Source organism: Homo sapiens, chromosome 15 (genome assembly GCF_000001405.40).
Source record: "Homo sapiens chromosome 15, GRCh38.p14 Primary Assembly".
Classification (NCBI taxonomy): Eukaryota; Metazoa; Chordata; class Mammalia; order Primates; family Hominidae; genus Homo; species Homo sapiens.
Genome location: NC_000015.10, coordinates 38,305,012 through 38,323,693, shown reverse-complemented (window position 1 = coordinate 38,323,693; position 18,682 = coordinate 38,305,012). Strand labels below are relative to the sequence as shown.

General features: G+C 33.5%; 1 protein-coding gene across 5 annotated transcripts in view; it reads right to left on the bottom strand.

Moving 5' to 3' along the window:
* Positions 1–18,682, bottom strand: part of SPRED1 (sprouty related EVH1 domain containing 1) — a 104,414-nt gene that overhangs the window by 33,556 nt on the left and 52,176 nt on the right. For all 5 annotated transcript variants that reach the window (XM_047432199.1, XM_047432200.1, XM_005254202.4 and 2 more), the window contains one exon: positions 1,285–1,453. In XM_047432199.1, coding sequence (XP_047288155.1) covers positions 1,285–1,453 — 169 coding nt within the window. The remainder of the gene's footprint in view (positions 1–1,284; positions 1,454–18,682) is intronic.

Here is an 18,682-nt window from a genome sequence, read left to right as displayed (position 1 = left end):
GTCAAACCAAAATATATCAGAATCTCTGTGGAATGAGGCACAGAACATCATGTATTTTTTTTTTTAAGTTTCTTATTTTTTTTTCTTCAAATTCAAATTACAATTCCTTGACTAGAGAACAATTCTTCACCATATTTGAACTTTCTTGGAGTTTTTGAAAAATAAGGGATGACTCGACTCTATTCCCCAGATAGATTCAATTGGTCTGGAGTGCAGACTAGTCATTTTAAGCTTCAAAAGCTTCCCAGGTGATTTTAATGTGTAGCCAAGGTTAAGAACACTGATCTAAGGAGAATTTATGGGGTCTTACAATAAAGACAAAATGGCTACTATTACTTCATAGTAATTTTTTCTGGATCAGAATAAAAAATTACTCATTTACCAAATTCTAATCTTTTAAAGTAGCTAAATAAATTACTTAACTACAGTTTTATGCACTATCAAAACAGATTTGTACAATGTATTTCCATGTTCTTGCCTGTGACTGGTCTCACAGTTTATGTTTTCAGATTTTCTTATTAAAATGACATCTTCAAAATAACACAAATCACAACGTAGTCTAGCACACTTTCAGTTACTTTATATAGAAAGTTAGTTAAATTGAAATAATTTTCCTCCTAATTAGAAAAAAAAATCAAGTCTTAGTTCTTCCTTTATGGGAAGAAATGGGTTTTAATGTGATTTTTGTTTAAGTAAGCATAAGCCAGTCTTACATGAAAAAACATTATTCTTCCCTTCAAAACCTGTATGCTTTTGAGTTAATAATTTTAATAGACTGGCAAGATAACAAAGGAATAGATGAGCTTGTGGTCTCTGCCAATCCTCAATAATGAAATCAATCAAGTAAAGACTTTTGTCATGGAATAACTAGAGTCTACATACATTTGAATATTACAAGTTCTATATAATTACCCAAAAAAAGGATGTGACTGGTGTCATACATACACAAGTAGAATACCAACTGGGATTCTCGCAGCTGTACATTTCTATTCCCTCTTCCTTCAAGCTCTTATTTTAAAACATTTGAATTATCTGAAGTCAGCTGTTGATGGACTCTTCAAGATAATACATGCAATTGACATAGACTATGATGTGACAAATACAAATCACGTTAAGGAATCTATTATTTTATCTTCATCTATTGTGAGGTTTCAAAGCCTGGTCACATATCACAAAAGCTGACATGGTTAAAGTGTGAAAACTACTTTGGGTCAACTTTAAGAAAGATAACCTCTACTATATATAACCGATAAATAAATTAAGAAAATAGTCAAGAATACCTACCTTGAGAAATATCCTCTATAGCTCTTCGGATACCTCTATCAAAAGCCCTAGCATCAGCAGGACTTTGAAACGTAAGACCAAACTTCTTGTCATCAATCTTCCAGTGGTGAAATGTTGGAGTGACCTTATTATAAATGAGGTCTTTTTTAAGCATACATTCCAAAACCACCTGACAAAAGCCAAATACCAAAAATTAATATACATATATCAAATGCATCTAATGTAGCTCATAAATACAAACTGAGGTGATACAACGCTATTACTTTTTAATGAATAATTTTTAGTATTTTAAATAAAGTGGTCTACTTCACAAAGTCACTCAATAAAGAGATTAAGATGGAATAAAAAAATGCACATTATAAACAGGATGCTTATTATACTCCCATTTTAAGAATACACACATATATACACTCCCATTGCATACAAAATTTCTGGAGGAATATATCAGGAATTACTTCCAGGAAACAGGCAGGGGGTTGGTAATAATAGAAATTTAACTTTTTAAAGTCATTTTTGGCTGGGGGCAGTGGCTCACACCTGTAATCCCAGCACTTTGGGAGGCCGAGGCGGGCGGATCACTTGAAATCAGGAGTTTGAGACCAGCGTGGCCAACATGGTGAAACCCCATCTCTACTAAAAATATAAAAAATTAGCTGGGTGTGGAGGTACATGCCTGTAATCCCAGCTACTCAGGAGGCTGAGGCAGGAGAATCGTCTGAGCCCAGGAGGTGGAGGTTGCAGTGAGTTGAGATCACGTCACTGCACTCCAACCTGGGCAACACAGTGAGACTTTGTCTCAAAAACAAAACAAAACAAAATAAAGTCATTTTCCTAAACTTCTTAAAAGACGTATTTATATTTTGTGTAAGGATTTAATGGTCACAGCAGTAAAACAAATACACTTGGCCACTTTTTCAAAATATGCATTTAAGTGAGTTACCTAACTTTTGAAGCCTTAGTTTACTCATCTGTAAAACAGAAATTGCAGTACTAAAATATCCCAGAGCTTAGAGTGGAATGACCGAATGTGCATTCATGTTAAGAGCTTCATGCAATGCATGAAGCAATATACCCTTGGTTTTTAAATTTTTTATTTTGAAAGTATTTCAAATTTGTAGAAAAGTAACAAGAATAACACAGAAAATTCCTGTTTTCCCTTTATCCAGATTTATCACATTAATTTTTAACATTCTCTCCACATATATCCATGTATAAACATTTAATTTACTTTATTATGAACTATTTCAAAGGAGTTACATATATTATGTTCTACTGCTCTTTAATACACACTTGAGTATATTTCCTAAGTGCAATACTATTCTCTTATGTAATCACAGTATGGTGATCTCATTCAGGAAATTTAAAACCAACACAGAACTTTAATCTATAGACCATGTTCCATAGACCACGTTCCACTTTTGCCTACTATACTAATAACACCTTTTAGAGCATTTTAAAAATCCTTCCAGTATAGGATCCATTCCAGGACAGTTATAAGGTCTCTTCAGTCTTTCGTTCCTGGGCCTGTCTTTCATCATATTCACAGTATGCTTTTAATATATGTTAGTTGTCAAATAAAACAAAAGTGGATATATTAGTGATCTTTGCAATTAATCTAATAAAAAGACTAGAACTACACACCTTAATTATTTTAAGAATCCCCTATAAGAAAACAGGAGGAAAAGAATTAAAAATAATTCAAATGAAACCCATAGTAGCACATGACACATAATAAATGCTCAGCTGGTATTTGGTGAAAGGTTGTATTTTCATTACCTCCACTCTTTTCCAATCACCATTATCACTTGCACATCTCTTCCATGCACTGCTGATGATCCCCTCAGATATTACTAGTAGTAGTGAATTACTAATAGTAATTGCACTACTCTGCAGGTAGAGTAATAATTTTTCTTAAAAAAAAATAGCAACTTTACTGGACCACTCCCTAGTTTCAATGTCTTTTCAATGCTTTCAAGACTAAAATTCTTACTATGACCTACTAGGCCCTGCATGAGCTGGTCTTTGTCTGTTTGCCAAATCCTTAAACTACAGTGGCAGACAAACATTAGGTACTCAACCAATACTTCTCCTCAGAAATCTTTTAGGCTTTATGCACTTCCCAAGGAACTCATTCACAGATCATGGACTAGGAATCTCTAATTTATACTTTTGGAGGGGAGGTCTGCTAGAGTCTGCTTATACTGGCTCCCAAGAGCCAGATATTAAATTTTCAAGAATTTTGGAAGCCATTGTTAAAAGCTAGAATATATAACTCTACAATGAAATAAATTGCATTAAAAATAAAATAATAAATACACAAAACTCATCAGTTCCTAATTATTTTACTATATTTTTACAATTACCTAGGTTCTTGAGGTAGTTTATGTCTGTCATATCTGTACGGTGGAAATACTATATAATGCCACACTGCTGCTCATTTCTTCCCAATGCTATATGCAATGATGGCATGTTGAGTAAAAGCAGCCATGGTAGAGGTATGTAAATGCTATAAATCATTGACTTGTGTCCCCTCTTGAAAGCTGATTGTTAAACCTTTTATCAGCATACCACTGAATATAATAATTCTTGGTAGTAAGTTTTATTAATTCAGAAATAACCAAAAATGTGACTAAGGTTCAGTCCTGCCCGTTTATAGGCAATGCAGTGAAATTCTCTCAAGACTTTTGCTTCCTATACTTTGATGACTCTATGTGTATTAGAAAAGAATTAACCGCCAGGCACAGTGGCTCACGCCTGTAATCCCAGCCCTGTGGGAGGCTGAGGCGGGTGGATCAACTGAGGTCAGGAGTTCAAGACCATCCTGACCAACATAGTGAAACCCGTCTCCACTAAAATACAAAAATTAGCCGGGCGTGGTGGTGGGAACCTGTAATCTCAGCTACTCGAGAGGCTGAGCCAGGAGAATCACTTCAACCTGGGAGGCAGAGGTTGCAGTGAGCCGAGATCATGCCATTGCACTCCAGCCTAGGCAGCAAGAGTAAAACTCTGTCTCAAAAAAAGAAAATAATTTACATGTATCCAGAGCTTTTTTGAGTCGGCACTTTGCTAAAGCATTTTACACAGATTTACTATTAAATATTTGTTACAACCATTTTGCAACAACAACAACAATTCACGATTAAGTTCTAGAATTCAAGGGGAAGTAAATGGTAGTGTCATAAATTACTGCAACATTTATACTATATTCATAAACAGTGGGAAAAGCAGTATTTTGTAAAACAATGCTAAATTGGAATTGTTAAAAAGGGGAAGACATAAAAACAGTTTGATTCTAGTTTTTTAATATATAATAATAACACCAAATTAATTTTTAATACATGAAAATATTACTGAATTAGCCCCCTCTTCTATTTTACAAAATTAATATTTTCAACTATTAACTCTCAAATAAAATTTCAATGTGATCTACCCTAATCTTGTCTTCAAATGGCATCTATTGTTTAGAGCCTCCCAACACTCACAGAAAAAGTAGTTTTAAAAATAAGTTCAAGCACTATTCACAATAGCAAAGACATGGAATCAACCTAGGTGTCCATCAATGGTGGATTAAATAAAGAAAATGTGGTATGTATATACTTATAAAACATATACCATGGGATACTAAACAGACATACAGAAGAATGAAATCATGTGCTTTGCAGCAACATGGATATAGTTAGAGGCCATTATCCTAAGCAAATTAATGTAGGAACCGAAAGCCAAACACCACATGTTCTTACTTATAAGAGGGAGCTAACAATGAATACTCATAGACACAAAGATGGCAATAATAGACACTGGGAACTACTACAGGGGAAAGAGAAGGAGGGAGGTAAGAGTTCAAAACCTATTGAGTACATGGGTGTCAAAATCCATTATTGCCCAAACCTCAGCATTACCCAATATACCCAGGTAACAAAATCTGCACATGTACCCCTTGAATCTAAAAGATGAAATTGTAAATAAATCAATAAAAATGAGCTTTAAAATGCACTGAGGAAATGAAGAGGCCAATGAACTAGCTCTTTGACTCACATAAATACCCATGCAGAAATGTGTTCCACGTAAAAGTCATGAAAATACTGAGTTTAAATATCATACCAACCAGTACAAAAACATACTAATTATAAACTAGATCTCAACTTGTTTACGTCTATCTATAAAAATACGAGAAAATACTGTTGGCATTATATATTTAATGTACCATAAAACTGATTATCCTTTAGGGAAAAACTTCTATGGTAGCTGCTAAAATGAATTTTGGAATAGGCAGTGGAATAGAAAAAAGGTAATCTATTGGCACAATCACCCAACATCTTTGTAGATAATTTTTAGGATATGCCTCCTAGAACAGTCTATTGCTCATTTACATAATTCTCATAGGTTCCCTATGCAATGTACAATATTTTCTTATTTATCTAAGTGACACAATATATTAGAAAGTTGTTTTGCTTTTGACTTTAAGTAGCATTTTGTAAAATGTACTTTCATCATACTAAACACAATGTATAGTACACCTTGATTAAGTAACAGAGACAGATACCAACTGTCTACTTCAAACTTAAAAAAAAAAATCAATGGGGTTGAAAGTTGTTAAAAAAAAAAAAAGAAAGCAGAAAAAAAGAATGCCTCAGAAGATGTTTACTCATCATCTGATGAGAACTAAATCTACATTCCTGAAAAGCAAAAATAATTTTAAGGGCTAGAGGATTCTTAAAATTACTGAATTCTGCTGGCTATTTTCACGTCCCTTCTCAACTATATCAGAACACTAAGTTCTGACTTTAGCCCAATGTAGTTTTCACTGTATTAATTCTGTATCTTAAGATAATAGTAATATTAGTAACAACAATCATACAGGAAGCAGAGTTCAATGCTGAATTACCATATTTGAGATTGGCATAATTAGCAAACAAACTGTAGAAAATAGCAATTACATCTTTGACAAGAGATTAAAAACAACCAATGCCATATTACCAAGTGAATTATTTACTTTGTAGGAGAAATGAGGTAAAGGGATACATTACTTCTGGCCAATAGGAAGTTAGACTAATTACCAATGGCAATTAACATCTTGTCTTCTTTGTAAGACAAGACATGGTGCAAAAGGAAATAAATAATTCTAAGTCTTGTTAAGACTATCCTAAAGGCCATTGCCAGAAGCTATTAAAAACATAATCTTAAAAATATTCAGTCTATTGGAATATATCCCTAATTCTAATTAAAAGCTGAATAAACTTCTTGCTAGTATTAATTAGTTGTGGGTGTGAATTTCATCAGGTCCCCATCGTATTAATGAAGGACATTCATAAAATAGATAGTAAAGATAAATTTAAAAGCCAACCAGTGGCCTCACCCTCTTTTTTACTCAAAATATAGTTTATATTAATAAACTGGAAAGACATCAGAAGTGTAGACAGCTACTGTAAAGTAAATATTAAATGTAGGACTCAATCAACAAGAATAACTATAAAGAATATGATGCCAAAATAATATGACACGAATAACCCTTCACTGATCCATTAAAAATGTGGCTGGTTGACAAAGAACAAATTAATGTTTTATTATTAGTACTAGAACTTTTTGAACTTTTCATCATCTACAAATGCACAGGGATTAGAAATAAAGACATTAACCAAAAAAAAAAAAAAAAAAAAAAAACATATAATGGAAAATTGTAAACTAGAAAAAGCCGCAACAAATTCAAAAGCACTTAAATGTTTATACTGATTGCATGAAGAAAAATTCAGACTTTTACAAACAGATCTGGCCAGGTTGGAGTACAATATAATTGCTGCAAATAGACTGGCTGGAGCCGGCTTTAGGAAAGTGACTATAATAATAAAGGAGGAAAATACAGTTATGTGGTGTATTTGGTAGCACAACTTTGCATTCCAACACAGATCTTAACAAATCTAAGTTGCTTAAGACATACAAGTCTAAATTCTTTACTAGCAAGGTAAATATTTTTGGAACCACAGATATTTTAAGAAGATCTTAAAGTCTTTCAATCCAGTGGTAACAAAAATAACTTTTAAAATCTATTTTTATTTTTTATGTTTTTGTCTGTTAACATTAAACAGATGTTATTTACGAAAATACAGATAAACAGATAAACAGGTGAACTCTGGACTTCAAGAAAACTGAAAATACTGTTGACATAAATTTATTAAAATCTGATACAGATGAAGGGAGAGGGAAAACAAACGGTTTCCTTATACTACACCAGGTTAAGAGACAGCGGAAGAAGGTGTTTAACAAAAATTGATTTTTATATGAGTGAAAAGTGTTCAAAATAAAATGATTAAGCTATGAAAAATAGAACAGGCCAGGAACATGACACATTCACTTCCCAAGGAAGAAGAAAACAGTTACTACTGTGTAAGAATTCAGTAGAGTAATTAGTTAAGCTTGTAGGCTTTGTAGCCAAGACCTGCTGGGTCCCATCCAGTCTCTACCACTCACCATCCAGCTGACTTTTGAGAATTAGATGAACTAATAAAGTATTCAAAATACTGCCCGACACATAGTAAATCTTCAATAAATCTTAGTAGTGATGGTGATGTTGGTGACTAGGTGATGCCACTACCCCACAATAGGTTACTTGCTATGCGAGGATGGGAGATCATTATTTATGAAGAGGATTTTTGAGTATGGAGACAGAGGTGTTTGAGTGACAGATACAACTATTAAGCACTTCAAAGAACTTATGTGAGTAAATTCTGAAGAGTTTGTTAATGGATTCTAAAGGCTGTAAAAATGCTTCAATCTCCAACCCTTTTCCTTCATCTGAAAAAAGTTCCAGGGTGAGAATTTACAGAGGGGGAAAAAAGGGGAGAAACTGTGATTACTAAGTAACTACAACTTCTGAAGACTTATTCCAAGTTATTTTGGGAAATATAGAGCAAAACTCCCATCGTAAAATAACTGTGTTGCATGCCAGAAGCATTTAAAATAGACCAAGCCAAAAATGGGTGTAAGTGCATTTTGTTTCACTAATAACAACTAATAATTTGGAAGAAGAGAGTACAATTAAATATATACTTTTAAATTACTAAGTACTACATTGTAGTTGCTATCTTACGAGTAGATAATTATATGTTCACAAATAGTGTTATCTAAGAAGTAGTATGCTTGGTAACCAGACATAAAAATTTTTACTAGTAACTTTCTGAAATACCTTTGAATCCAATGAAAAATAATTTCATTTTTAAAATAATAATTCCAAATTCAGATTAAATTACTTGATAACCAAAGTCAATAACTGATATCTCAAATAGTTGCCCTTATAATGAACTTTAATTTTCTGAATGACATAAAAACCTGTACCCTTTAAGAAATACATTATGACATTCTATATAGAATTATGTTATCAAATACATGTTTTTACAATTGTCTATTAATATAAATTTGTGTTTAACACTGTGTTCTGAGCTGAGTGGGACTTTAGACATTGAAAAATAAAAGTAACAGAAACAGCAATGGCAGTGATTCTCACACAATAGCAGTTCCGTTACCTTCAGCTACCACAAAAGGAAGGGAAGGAGGGAGAAAAAAAGGAATAAAGGAGGAGAGAAGGAAAGAAAATGGTATCATATTTTCATAATTATGGCACTTTATTTTAACACACATTATTTTTGTATGACTAAATAGTTAATATAAAAAACAGCAAGTTACAAAAGAGATCAAATATTTGACAGTCAGACATACATAGGTATTTTATTTTCACTCAAAAAGATAGTAACTGGAACACCAGTATCTACAGTTCCCATACTCCAATAAACCCACACTTCTACCTAGATCCTACTTAAATAAATGAGGTGAGAAAGTATACACGTATGTGTGCAAATAATAAAAATTAGAACAAACAACCAATAGAGGAATAAAATTTAACTGGAGGCTCACATGACTACAAGGATATGAAAAAGTGTTCAGCTGGAATTAAACTTGACATTATAATATTGGGAAAAGGTGGTGGATGCTGACAGTAATAAGCAAAATGGACTCTTAGGCTAAAAGGTATAATGAATAAAGTTCACTTAGTAGAAATATAATCCATACATTTTTATTAGGCAAGAATAAACACAAGAAAAACTTGACAAATCTATAATCAGAGTAACATATCTGAATATATGTCTCAATAATTGATAGATGAAATAGACACAAAATTAGTAAAGATAAAGCAGATTTGAATATCACCATTAAAACATCTGACCTATGGGACACATGCAGAAACCTGTATGAATTACTTGAAAAATACATTCTTCTAAAATATGTGGAACACTTAGGTAAATTAATCATTTACCCACAATATAACATATATCTTGACAAATATAACTGTTATTGCATAGGCTATCATCTCTAAACATAATGCAATACAACTTTAGTTTAAAATACCTGTTCTTTTGAAAGAAATTACACCTGCTTCTAAATGACAAGTGAATCAAATAAATCAGCATGAGAATTAGAAAACCCTTAGACCTAAAAGATAATGAAATTAACTCCATATAAAAATTTGTGTAGTGCAACAATCCAAAACAAGAAGCCAAAAAGGAAATTTGTAGTTTAAAAAGCTTAGAGTGAAAATCAAAATCTGAAAATAAAATGAACTCAATGTCCAATTTAAAATGTTAAAAATGAATATAATAAACCCAAAAATGTATTAAGAAATAAAGAGTATGAATTCATTTAAAAATATCTACAGAAAGGAAGAACTACTTTTTCACCATTTGCTTGCTTGTTTAGAATATAATATGATATAATATAGAATATAATATAACAGATAATATAATATAATGTAACGGATAATATGAATTCCTGTTTTAGTCAATGAATTATAATCATTTATCCTACTTTAATTGGATAAAGGGAACTCCTTCATGCTGACTTGTGTCTTTTCAACAAGATTTCACCCATTGAGTACAACTTTACTTTCTAGCACAAGATGTTATATGATATTCTGGGCAAGGATGAATAATATGAATCTAATCATGGGGAAACATTAGAAAAATCCAAATTGAGAAACATTCTATAAAATAACTGCCCAGTATTCTTTAAATATGTCTATGTCATTAAAGACTGAGGCACTGCTCCATTTTACAGAAGACTAAAGAGCTATGGCAGTTAAATGCTACATTATCTTATACTGAAGAAACAAAATTGTCATAAGAACATTACATGGACGGTTGTAAAAACTGGAATAGGGACTGTAGATTAAAGACTGTATTTATGTTAATTTCCTAAATATGATAAATACACTATAATTTTGTAAGAGAATATCCTTGTTCTTAGGAAAAATACACTGAACAATTAGGGTAAAAAGCAGGCTGTAATGCAACTTACATCACATAGTTCAGAAAAAAAGTGTTTTTTGTGTATGTGGGTGTGTGCGTGTGGGAGAGGGAGAAAATGATACATTCAATGTGGCAAATGTTAAAAATTGGAGAATTTAGGTAAAAGGTATACAAGAGGGCTTGAGAGTATCCTTGCCAACAGCTGATTATTTGCAAAGACCAGTGAAATGGACAAGAAAAAAAGAAAAAGTACAAATAAACTATGTTAGGAAGAAAAAGAGGGACAAAACTAAAAGTAAAGATTTAAAAATTAATAAAGAATACAATATAAAGGTTTATGACCCTGAATATGAAAACTTAAGTGAAACAAGCCAATTTCCTAAAAAACTGTAACTTACCAAACTAACTGAAAAATAAAATAGAAAACCATTAGAGACCTGTAACTATTAACGAAAGTGAATGACTAGAAAGCAACGACGACATGGGATGAGGGGAATGTGAGGTGAGATATACTGGGATTCCACCAGGACATCTTGGAAATATATCAAGGACTAGAGGTCAAAGAACAAGAATGTCACCACCTTTTATAGATACTGTAGGGGAATTCTACCCACAAAAGGGGAGGGCATTGTCAAAACTGACTCCTAATTAGGAATTAATATGGCTCTGACTCCTGGTAGGCACACTAAAAAATAACAAAAAACAATCGGGCACAGGCTTCCTGACTCAGCTTTTTCTTGGGTCCCCACAGGTTGCTAGATTTCTAAACTGCCAGAATAAAACTAAATAAGCTTAGGCAATTCTCTTTTCTCTCACTGGATTTCTATAATTTGGAGATGGGCTCATATAATGTTGATGAAATGAATCTCGAAGATCTAAGACTTTAACAGTTACGAACCTTATGAACCAATTGATACAGCAATACCCTATTATAACACAGAAACCATTTAGAAACACAAAAATATCCAAAAACATGACAGTTGGAGATATTCAACCTTTGAAAGTTAAACAAAAAAGTATGTATAAATTTGAATAATTTAATAAATAATGTTAAATTTTATAAAACCAAAACTTTATACTATAGTGAACTGAAGTCTTTTCAAAAGTCTGGACTTTACAAAGGAGGAAAAATCTCAAATCAATAATTGAAGTTCCTACCTCCAGAGACTAAAGAAGGGAGAGCAAAATAAACCCAAAGCAAGCAAAAAGAAAATGACAACAGAAATAAAATTGAAAATAGAAGAAAAATCAGTGAAACAAAAACTACTTTTCTAAAAACCAATACAATTGATACATCTCTAGCAAGACTGACAAAAGAGCAAAGCCACAAATCCATTACAGGAATGAAACGGGATACTGCTAAAGTTCCTGCAGCCTTTAAAAGAATAACTGAGGTACTAAGAACAACTTTATGCTCATAAGTTAGACAACTTAAAAGAAATTGACCGATTATTTAAAAATCACAAATTATAAAAATTCAACCATGATGAAATAGATAACCTGAATAGTCGTATAACAATTAAAGAAACTGAATTTGTAATTTAAAATCTTCTGAAGAGATCTTCATATTGAGATAGTTTCAATGAAAAATTCTACCATCTAAAAACGAACTAACACCAATTTTACAGTCTTTTCCAGAAAACAGAATATGAGGGAGTACTTCCCAACTTATTTTAATGAGGCCAGTATTACCTTGACACCAATATTAAACAAAAACAGTACCAAGAAAACCCCCACCGACCTACAGACTATTATCTCTAATGAACTTAAATGCAAAATTCCTCAACTGAATATTAGCAAACCAAGTCCAACAACGTATCAAAAATTATACACCATGACCAAGTGGGATTTATTGCAGAAACAGGGCTGGTTCAATATTTAAAAATCAATCAATATAATCTATCGTATCAACAGGCTAATGTGATCAATTGACACAAAAAAAATTTAACATACTCCAATATCTAGTCATGATACAAATTATCAGCAAGTTAGCAAGAGTAGAATTATCTCAATTTGATAAAAAATGCCTGCAAGAAACCCCAGCCAACAATATACTAAAAGTGAAAGAGTGTATGTGTTTTGGTTAATATCTGAAACAAGGCAAGGATGTACTCTACTACCATTGTATTCCATATAGAATTGGAGGTTCTAGCCACAGAAATAAGGGAAGAAAAAGAAAAGACATATAGATTGAAGAGGAAGAAATAAATCCCTTCCTATTTGTAGATGACATGATGTCAACATTAAAAAATTCCAGGGAATTTAAATAAAGAATTAAATATGTCTATGTAACAGGATACAAGAACAACAAATGAAAATTAATAGCATGTCTATATACAATGGACATGCAGTAACCAAAATTAAAAACACAATAGTATTTACAATTGCTCTAAACAAAACATTTAGGTATACAATTAACAAAACATATAAGAAAAACATTCAGGTATACAATTAACAAAACATATAAGATCTATGTGTTGAAAATCACAAAATGTTAATGAAAGGATTCAAAGACCTAAACAGAGACACAGTGTATTTATGAATTAGAAGTTCATCATAGTAAAGATGTCCATTCTCCCCAAGTTGATCCACAGGTTTAATACAATTCCTATCAAAACCCCAGTAAGGTTTCAGTAAGGTTTTTTTGTAGATACATACAAGAATATTCTAAAATTTGGCTGGGCACAGTGGCTCATGCCTGTAATCCCAGCACTTTGGGAGGCAGAGGTGGGTGGATCACCTGAGGTCAGAAGTTCAAGACAAGCCTGGTCAACATGGTGAAACCCCCGTCTCTACTAAATATACAAAAATTAGCGAGCGTGGTGGCAGGTGCCTGTAATCCCAGCTACTCGGGAGGCTGAGGCAGGAGAAAAGCTTGAACCTGGGAGGCAGAGGTTGCAATGAGCCGAGATCGCGCCACTGCGCTCCAGTATGGGCAACAAGAGCGAAACTTCGTCTCCAAACACACACACACACACACACACACACACACACACACACAAAGAATAGTCTAAAATTTATATGGAAAAGCACAGACCCAGAATAGCTAAAACAATATTGAGAAAGAAGAGTAACATGGGAGGAATCATTCTACTCTGTATTAGGAATCATTCTACTCTGTATTAGGGCTTCTTATATAGCCACAATAATACAGTGTGTGATACTGGTGGAGGGATGGACAAATAGAGAAATGGAACATAATAAAGAACACAAATATGCTTACCTGATTTTTAATGAGAACAAAAGTAATTCAAGGGAGGAATCCAATCTTTTCAACAATGGTGCAGGAAAAACTGGACATTCATAGGAAAAAAAACCCCTTGATCTAAGTATCACAATTTACACAAAAGTTAACTTAAAATGGACAATGGGCTTAAATGTAAAAGGTGAAACTATTATATAAAACTTTCAGGAAAAAAACACAGGATAAATCTTCATGACCTATGGCTAGGGAAAGAGTTCTTGGACTTGTCACCAAAGTATGATCCATGAAAGAAAAACTTGATAGATGGGACCTTATCACAATTTAAAACTTTGGTCTGCAAAAGGCCATGTTCAGAAGATGAAAAGACAAGCTACAGACTGGGAGAGAACATTTTCAAACCACGTATTCCAACAGAGGACTTAGTAGCTAGAATATACAAATAACTCTCCAAACACAATAGTAAAAAAGCAAGGCTGGGTACGGTGGCTCACGCCTGTAATCCCAGCACGTTGGGAGGCTAAGGCGGGCAGATCACTTAAGGTCAGGAGTTCAAGACCAGCCTGGCCAACATGGTGAAACCCCATCTCTAGTAAAAATACAAAAATTAGCCAGGTGTGGTGATGCATGCCTGTGGTCCCAGCTACCTGGGAGGCTGAGGCAGGAGAATCGTTTGAACCCGGGAGGCAGAGGTTGTAGCGAGCCAAGATCACGCCACTGCACTAGAAGAAGACGCTATCTACAAGAAAACCCCTCAAACAATCCAATAAGAAAATGGGCAAAAAGACTGACATTCGCCAAAGAAGGTACAAATAATCAAATGAAAAGATGATCATTAGTCATCAGAAAAATGCAAATTAAAACCACAATAAGTTATTATCACTACACATCTCTCAGAATGAGTAAAACAAAAAATAGTGGCTACTTGAAATGCTGGTGAGGATGCTTAGAAAATGGATTGCTCATAAACCGCTGGTGGCAATGTGGCATGATAAACCCACTCTAGAAAAAAGTTTTGCAGTTTCTTAACAAAACTAAATATGCAACTACCATACAACCCAGCCACTGCATACCTGGTCATTTACCCCAGAGAAATAAAACTTACATTCACAGAAAAAACATGTATGTGAATGTTCACAGCAACGTTATATTTAGTCCCAAACTGGAAACAGCCAAGATGTCCTTCAGTAAGTCATATAAATACATATCACAGACTACTACTCAACAATAAAAGGAACAAACTCTGGAGATACTCAATAACCTGGATCAACCCTCGGAGAATGATCATGAAAGAAAAAAGGTCAATCCTGAAAGGTTACATACTTATTATTACACTTTTATAACATTTTTTGAAAGACAAAATTACGGAAATAATTGAGAGAACAAAATAGTGGTTGCCTGGCAAAAACGGAAATAGATGTGGTGATAAAATCAACAGAAAGAAGAGATTCTTGTGGTTGTTAAACTGTTTTGCATCTTGTCTGTGGTAGTGAAAACGTGATAAAACTGTACAGACTTAAATAAAATACACACAAAAATGAATACAAGTAACTGAGGAAATCTGAATATGATAGATTGTATCAACAGAAATATCCTCGCTGTGATATGACAATATAGTTTTGCAAAATGTTGCCACTGGGAAAACAGGTTAGAGTGTACACAGCATTTATTATTTCTTACAATAGCAATTAATAATCTACAATTATCTCAACAAAAATTTCAATTTAAAAAGTCTGTGAGACATTTGCAAAATCAGATTTCATAAAAATTAGTATCAAATTCTAGTCTGGGGAGGTGGAGAACATAAGAACACTTCCTTATCATGGTAAAGGACATCTCAAGACAACAGCTGACATCATACTTATCTGTGCAACATTAGAAATTCCTTTAAATTCCCAAAGAAAATAGATATTATATCACCAATATTGTCTAACATTATTCTAAAAGCTGCATGAAGAGCTTCAAAAGATACCAAAAATGATTTTTAAAATATATCATTTACAATAGCCCCTTGCCACATTTTTATAACCCTAAGAAAAAACTTAAGTAAATGTACCTACATGCGAAAAAACATAAACTGTCTGGAGTTCTGAAAGAATAAGCAAAAATATACCCCTCCCCACAAAAGTTAAAGTAAGTCTAATGAGAAAAACTAGCACTAGCAGATACTAAACTTCTTATTAAAGTTACCATAATTTAGAGAGTGTACATGCATATCATAGAATACTACTCAACTAACAATCAACAGACAAACAGTACAATGGAATAGGAAGTACTATGGACTGAAGGGATTGTGCTCCCCTCAAATTCATATGTTAAAGCCCTAATATCCATGGTGACTACATTTGGAAATAGAGCCAGGGAGGAAATGATAAAGGTTAAATGAGGTCATAAAGGTGGGGCCCTAATCTGATAGGGCTAGTGCTTTTATAAGAGGAAGAAACACCAGAGCTCTTTCTCTAGACCATGTGAGGACATCTTGAGAAAGTGACAGTCTGAAAGCCAGGAAGACAGCCCACACCAGAAACAGAAAATTGGCCAATACCTTGGACTTCCCACCTTCCATAACTGTGAGAAAATAAATTCTGTTGTTTAAACCATTCAGTCTACGTTATTTTGTTACGGCAGCCCAAGGAAACTAATACAGGAAGTCAAGCACATAGAAGGCACTCAGTGGTTGATTAACCAAAGGAATACTACAGTCAACCACTCAATTAAAAGCATGACACATTCAAATTATAATTTAGAATGTAATAAAACAAAAGTAGTGCAGAAACATTTGGAAAGCTAATAAGTATGGTCGATAATTTGAGGTCAGAGTTTGGGCTTTAATTTAGCTATGATAGAGGCTATTACAGTTTAATGGCAATTGGAAGATAATGGAAAGGATGTGAAATAAATTACGAAATATACCACAATCAGGTATAAAAGAGAACAATGAAGCCAAGACAATATTGATGAGGCTGACAGACCAAATCAACCAGTGAAAAGCAGTAACTACAGAAAGGAATGATGTTAGTTTAAAATAAATTGTAAAGAGGAAATATGTCAGATGCCAAATGCAGGGTTTGAAAGAAGAAAGAGGAAATGTAATAATAAAGAGTTTGCTGAAGAAAGGTGAAAGTGTTAAGCTAAATGAGAAAATAAAGGCAACCAGGAAGGTATAATAATTTGGGACATTTTCTAAATCTTAATTTTCAGGAACCAGTTCCCACAAGGCTCCGGGGAAAGAGAACAGAAATGCTAATAGGCAGACTTCTTCCCCCTCTTCAAGGTATGCTAGCAATATTAAATAATTAACTGTTGCAAAACAACTGCTGGGGAAAAACTACAAAATTCATGGTTGTACAGAAAGTAATTAATAGCATAATTTATTACCTTTTCAATGGGTTAATAATGAAAAGAATGGGATTCTGGACTGGTTATTATTATCATTTATCTCAATTCCAATTCTTCACAGCAAAATTGTTTGTCCAAGGTGCTTTAACCCAGTTTTCCTATTTTTCCATCTATGACAGTAAAAAGGAAACCGTTTCCTGCCATTATTGTTTTCTGAGCATTAGCAACATGTTTATCAACATTCTCTACTCCACATAATCTCTCAATATGCTATCTATATAGTGCCATATTTATTAATGTAAAAGGGGAAGGGCATTTTCTTATACATGGTACTTCTGATGAACTACAAGTAACTCAGTAAGGAAATACCATGGAAATGATTACCTTTGAGAAAAAAGGCAGACAGATTAAAGGCAAAGGAGGACAGGGCCAGATTATAAACATTTTCTATGTGGAGATGAAATTGTCTCTAGGAAATCAGTGGGGAATCCTAAAGAAGTATTAGACCCAAGTTTTAGAAATTTAATTATGGTAAATAACACAGAAGTTAGAAGGAGCCAGGTAAAACTGGGCAATGAAAAAAAAAATAGTAGCCTTATTTGCAGGAAAGATATGAGAGGGGTAGAGATTAAAAGAATGAAACAGAATCAAGAATAAAGAAGATCTGTTTGAATAAATGGAGGGATCACTGATAATTCCTAAGTTTATAACTATTGTTGATGCACATTTTGAGAACATTCACCAAATCCAAACAATTTCAAGATCTTATATAGTTTAACATAAGAACTGAAACAAGATAAATTTATTCTACTTTAAGAATACTGAAGATTTGAAAATCTGAACATACAAACTAAAACATAAGATCTTAATCACCATATAAATAATCTTCACACGAATGTTACCTACATTCTTGGTAAGGCCTTCCTTGGTCACTGTGTCTATATACATTTTAGCCAATCCCCACACCCAGCAAAAAACTTCCCTATACTCCCTTTTCCTACGTTTTTTCCCCTTAGCACTGTCTAGCATATCATTTTCCTGTTTTACTTATTGTAATATTTATCTTCCACTAGAATGTATACTACCTCAAGAACTGAGATTTCTATTTTTGTTCACTTACATATTCCCAGTGCCTACAACAGTGCTTAGCACACAGTAGCCACTCAACAATATTTATTGCATGAATGAACAACCCACCTTTAAAACGAAAAAAAAAAAAAGTTTTTTTTTTTTGTTTTTTATTTTTTGACAGTTTCACTCTCGTTACCCAAGCTGGAGTGCAATGGCGTGATCTTGGCTCACTGCAACCTCTGCCTCCCACATTCAAGCAATTCTCCTGCCTCAGCCTCCTAAGTAGCTGGGATTACAGGTGTCTGCCCCCATGCCCAGCTAATTTTTTGTATTTTTTTAGTAGAGGTGGGGTTTCACCATGTTGGCCAGGCTGGTCTCGAACTCCTGACCTCAGGCAATCCACCCGCCTTGGCCTCCCAAAGTGCTGGGATTACAGGTGTGAGCCACCGTGCTTGGCCTAAGAAAAGAGTACTGAAGGAAAATACTGTAGGAT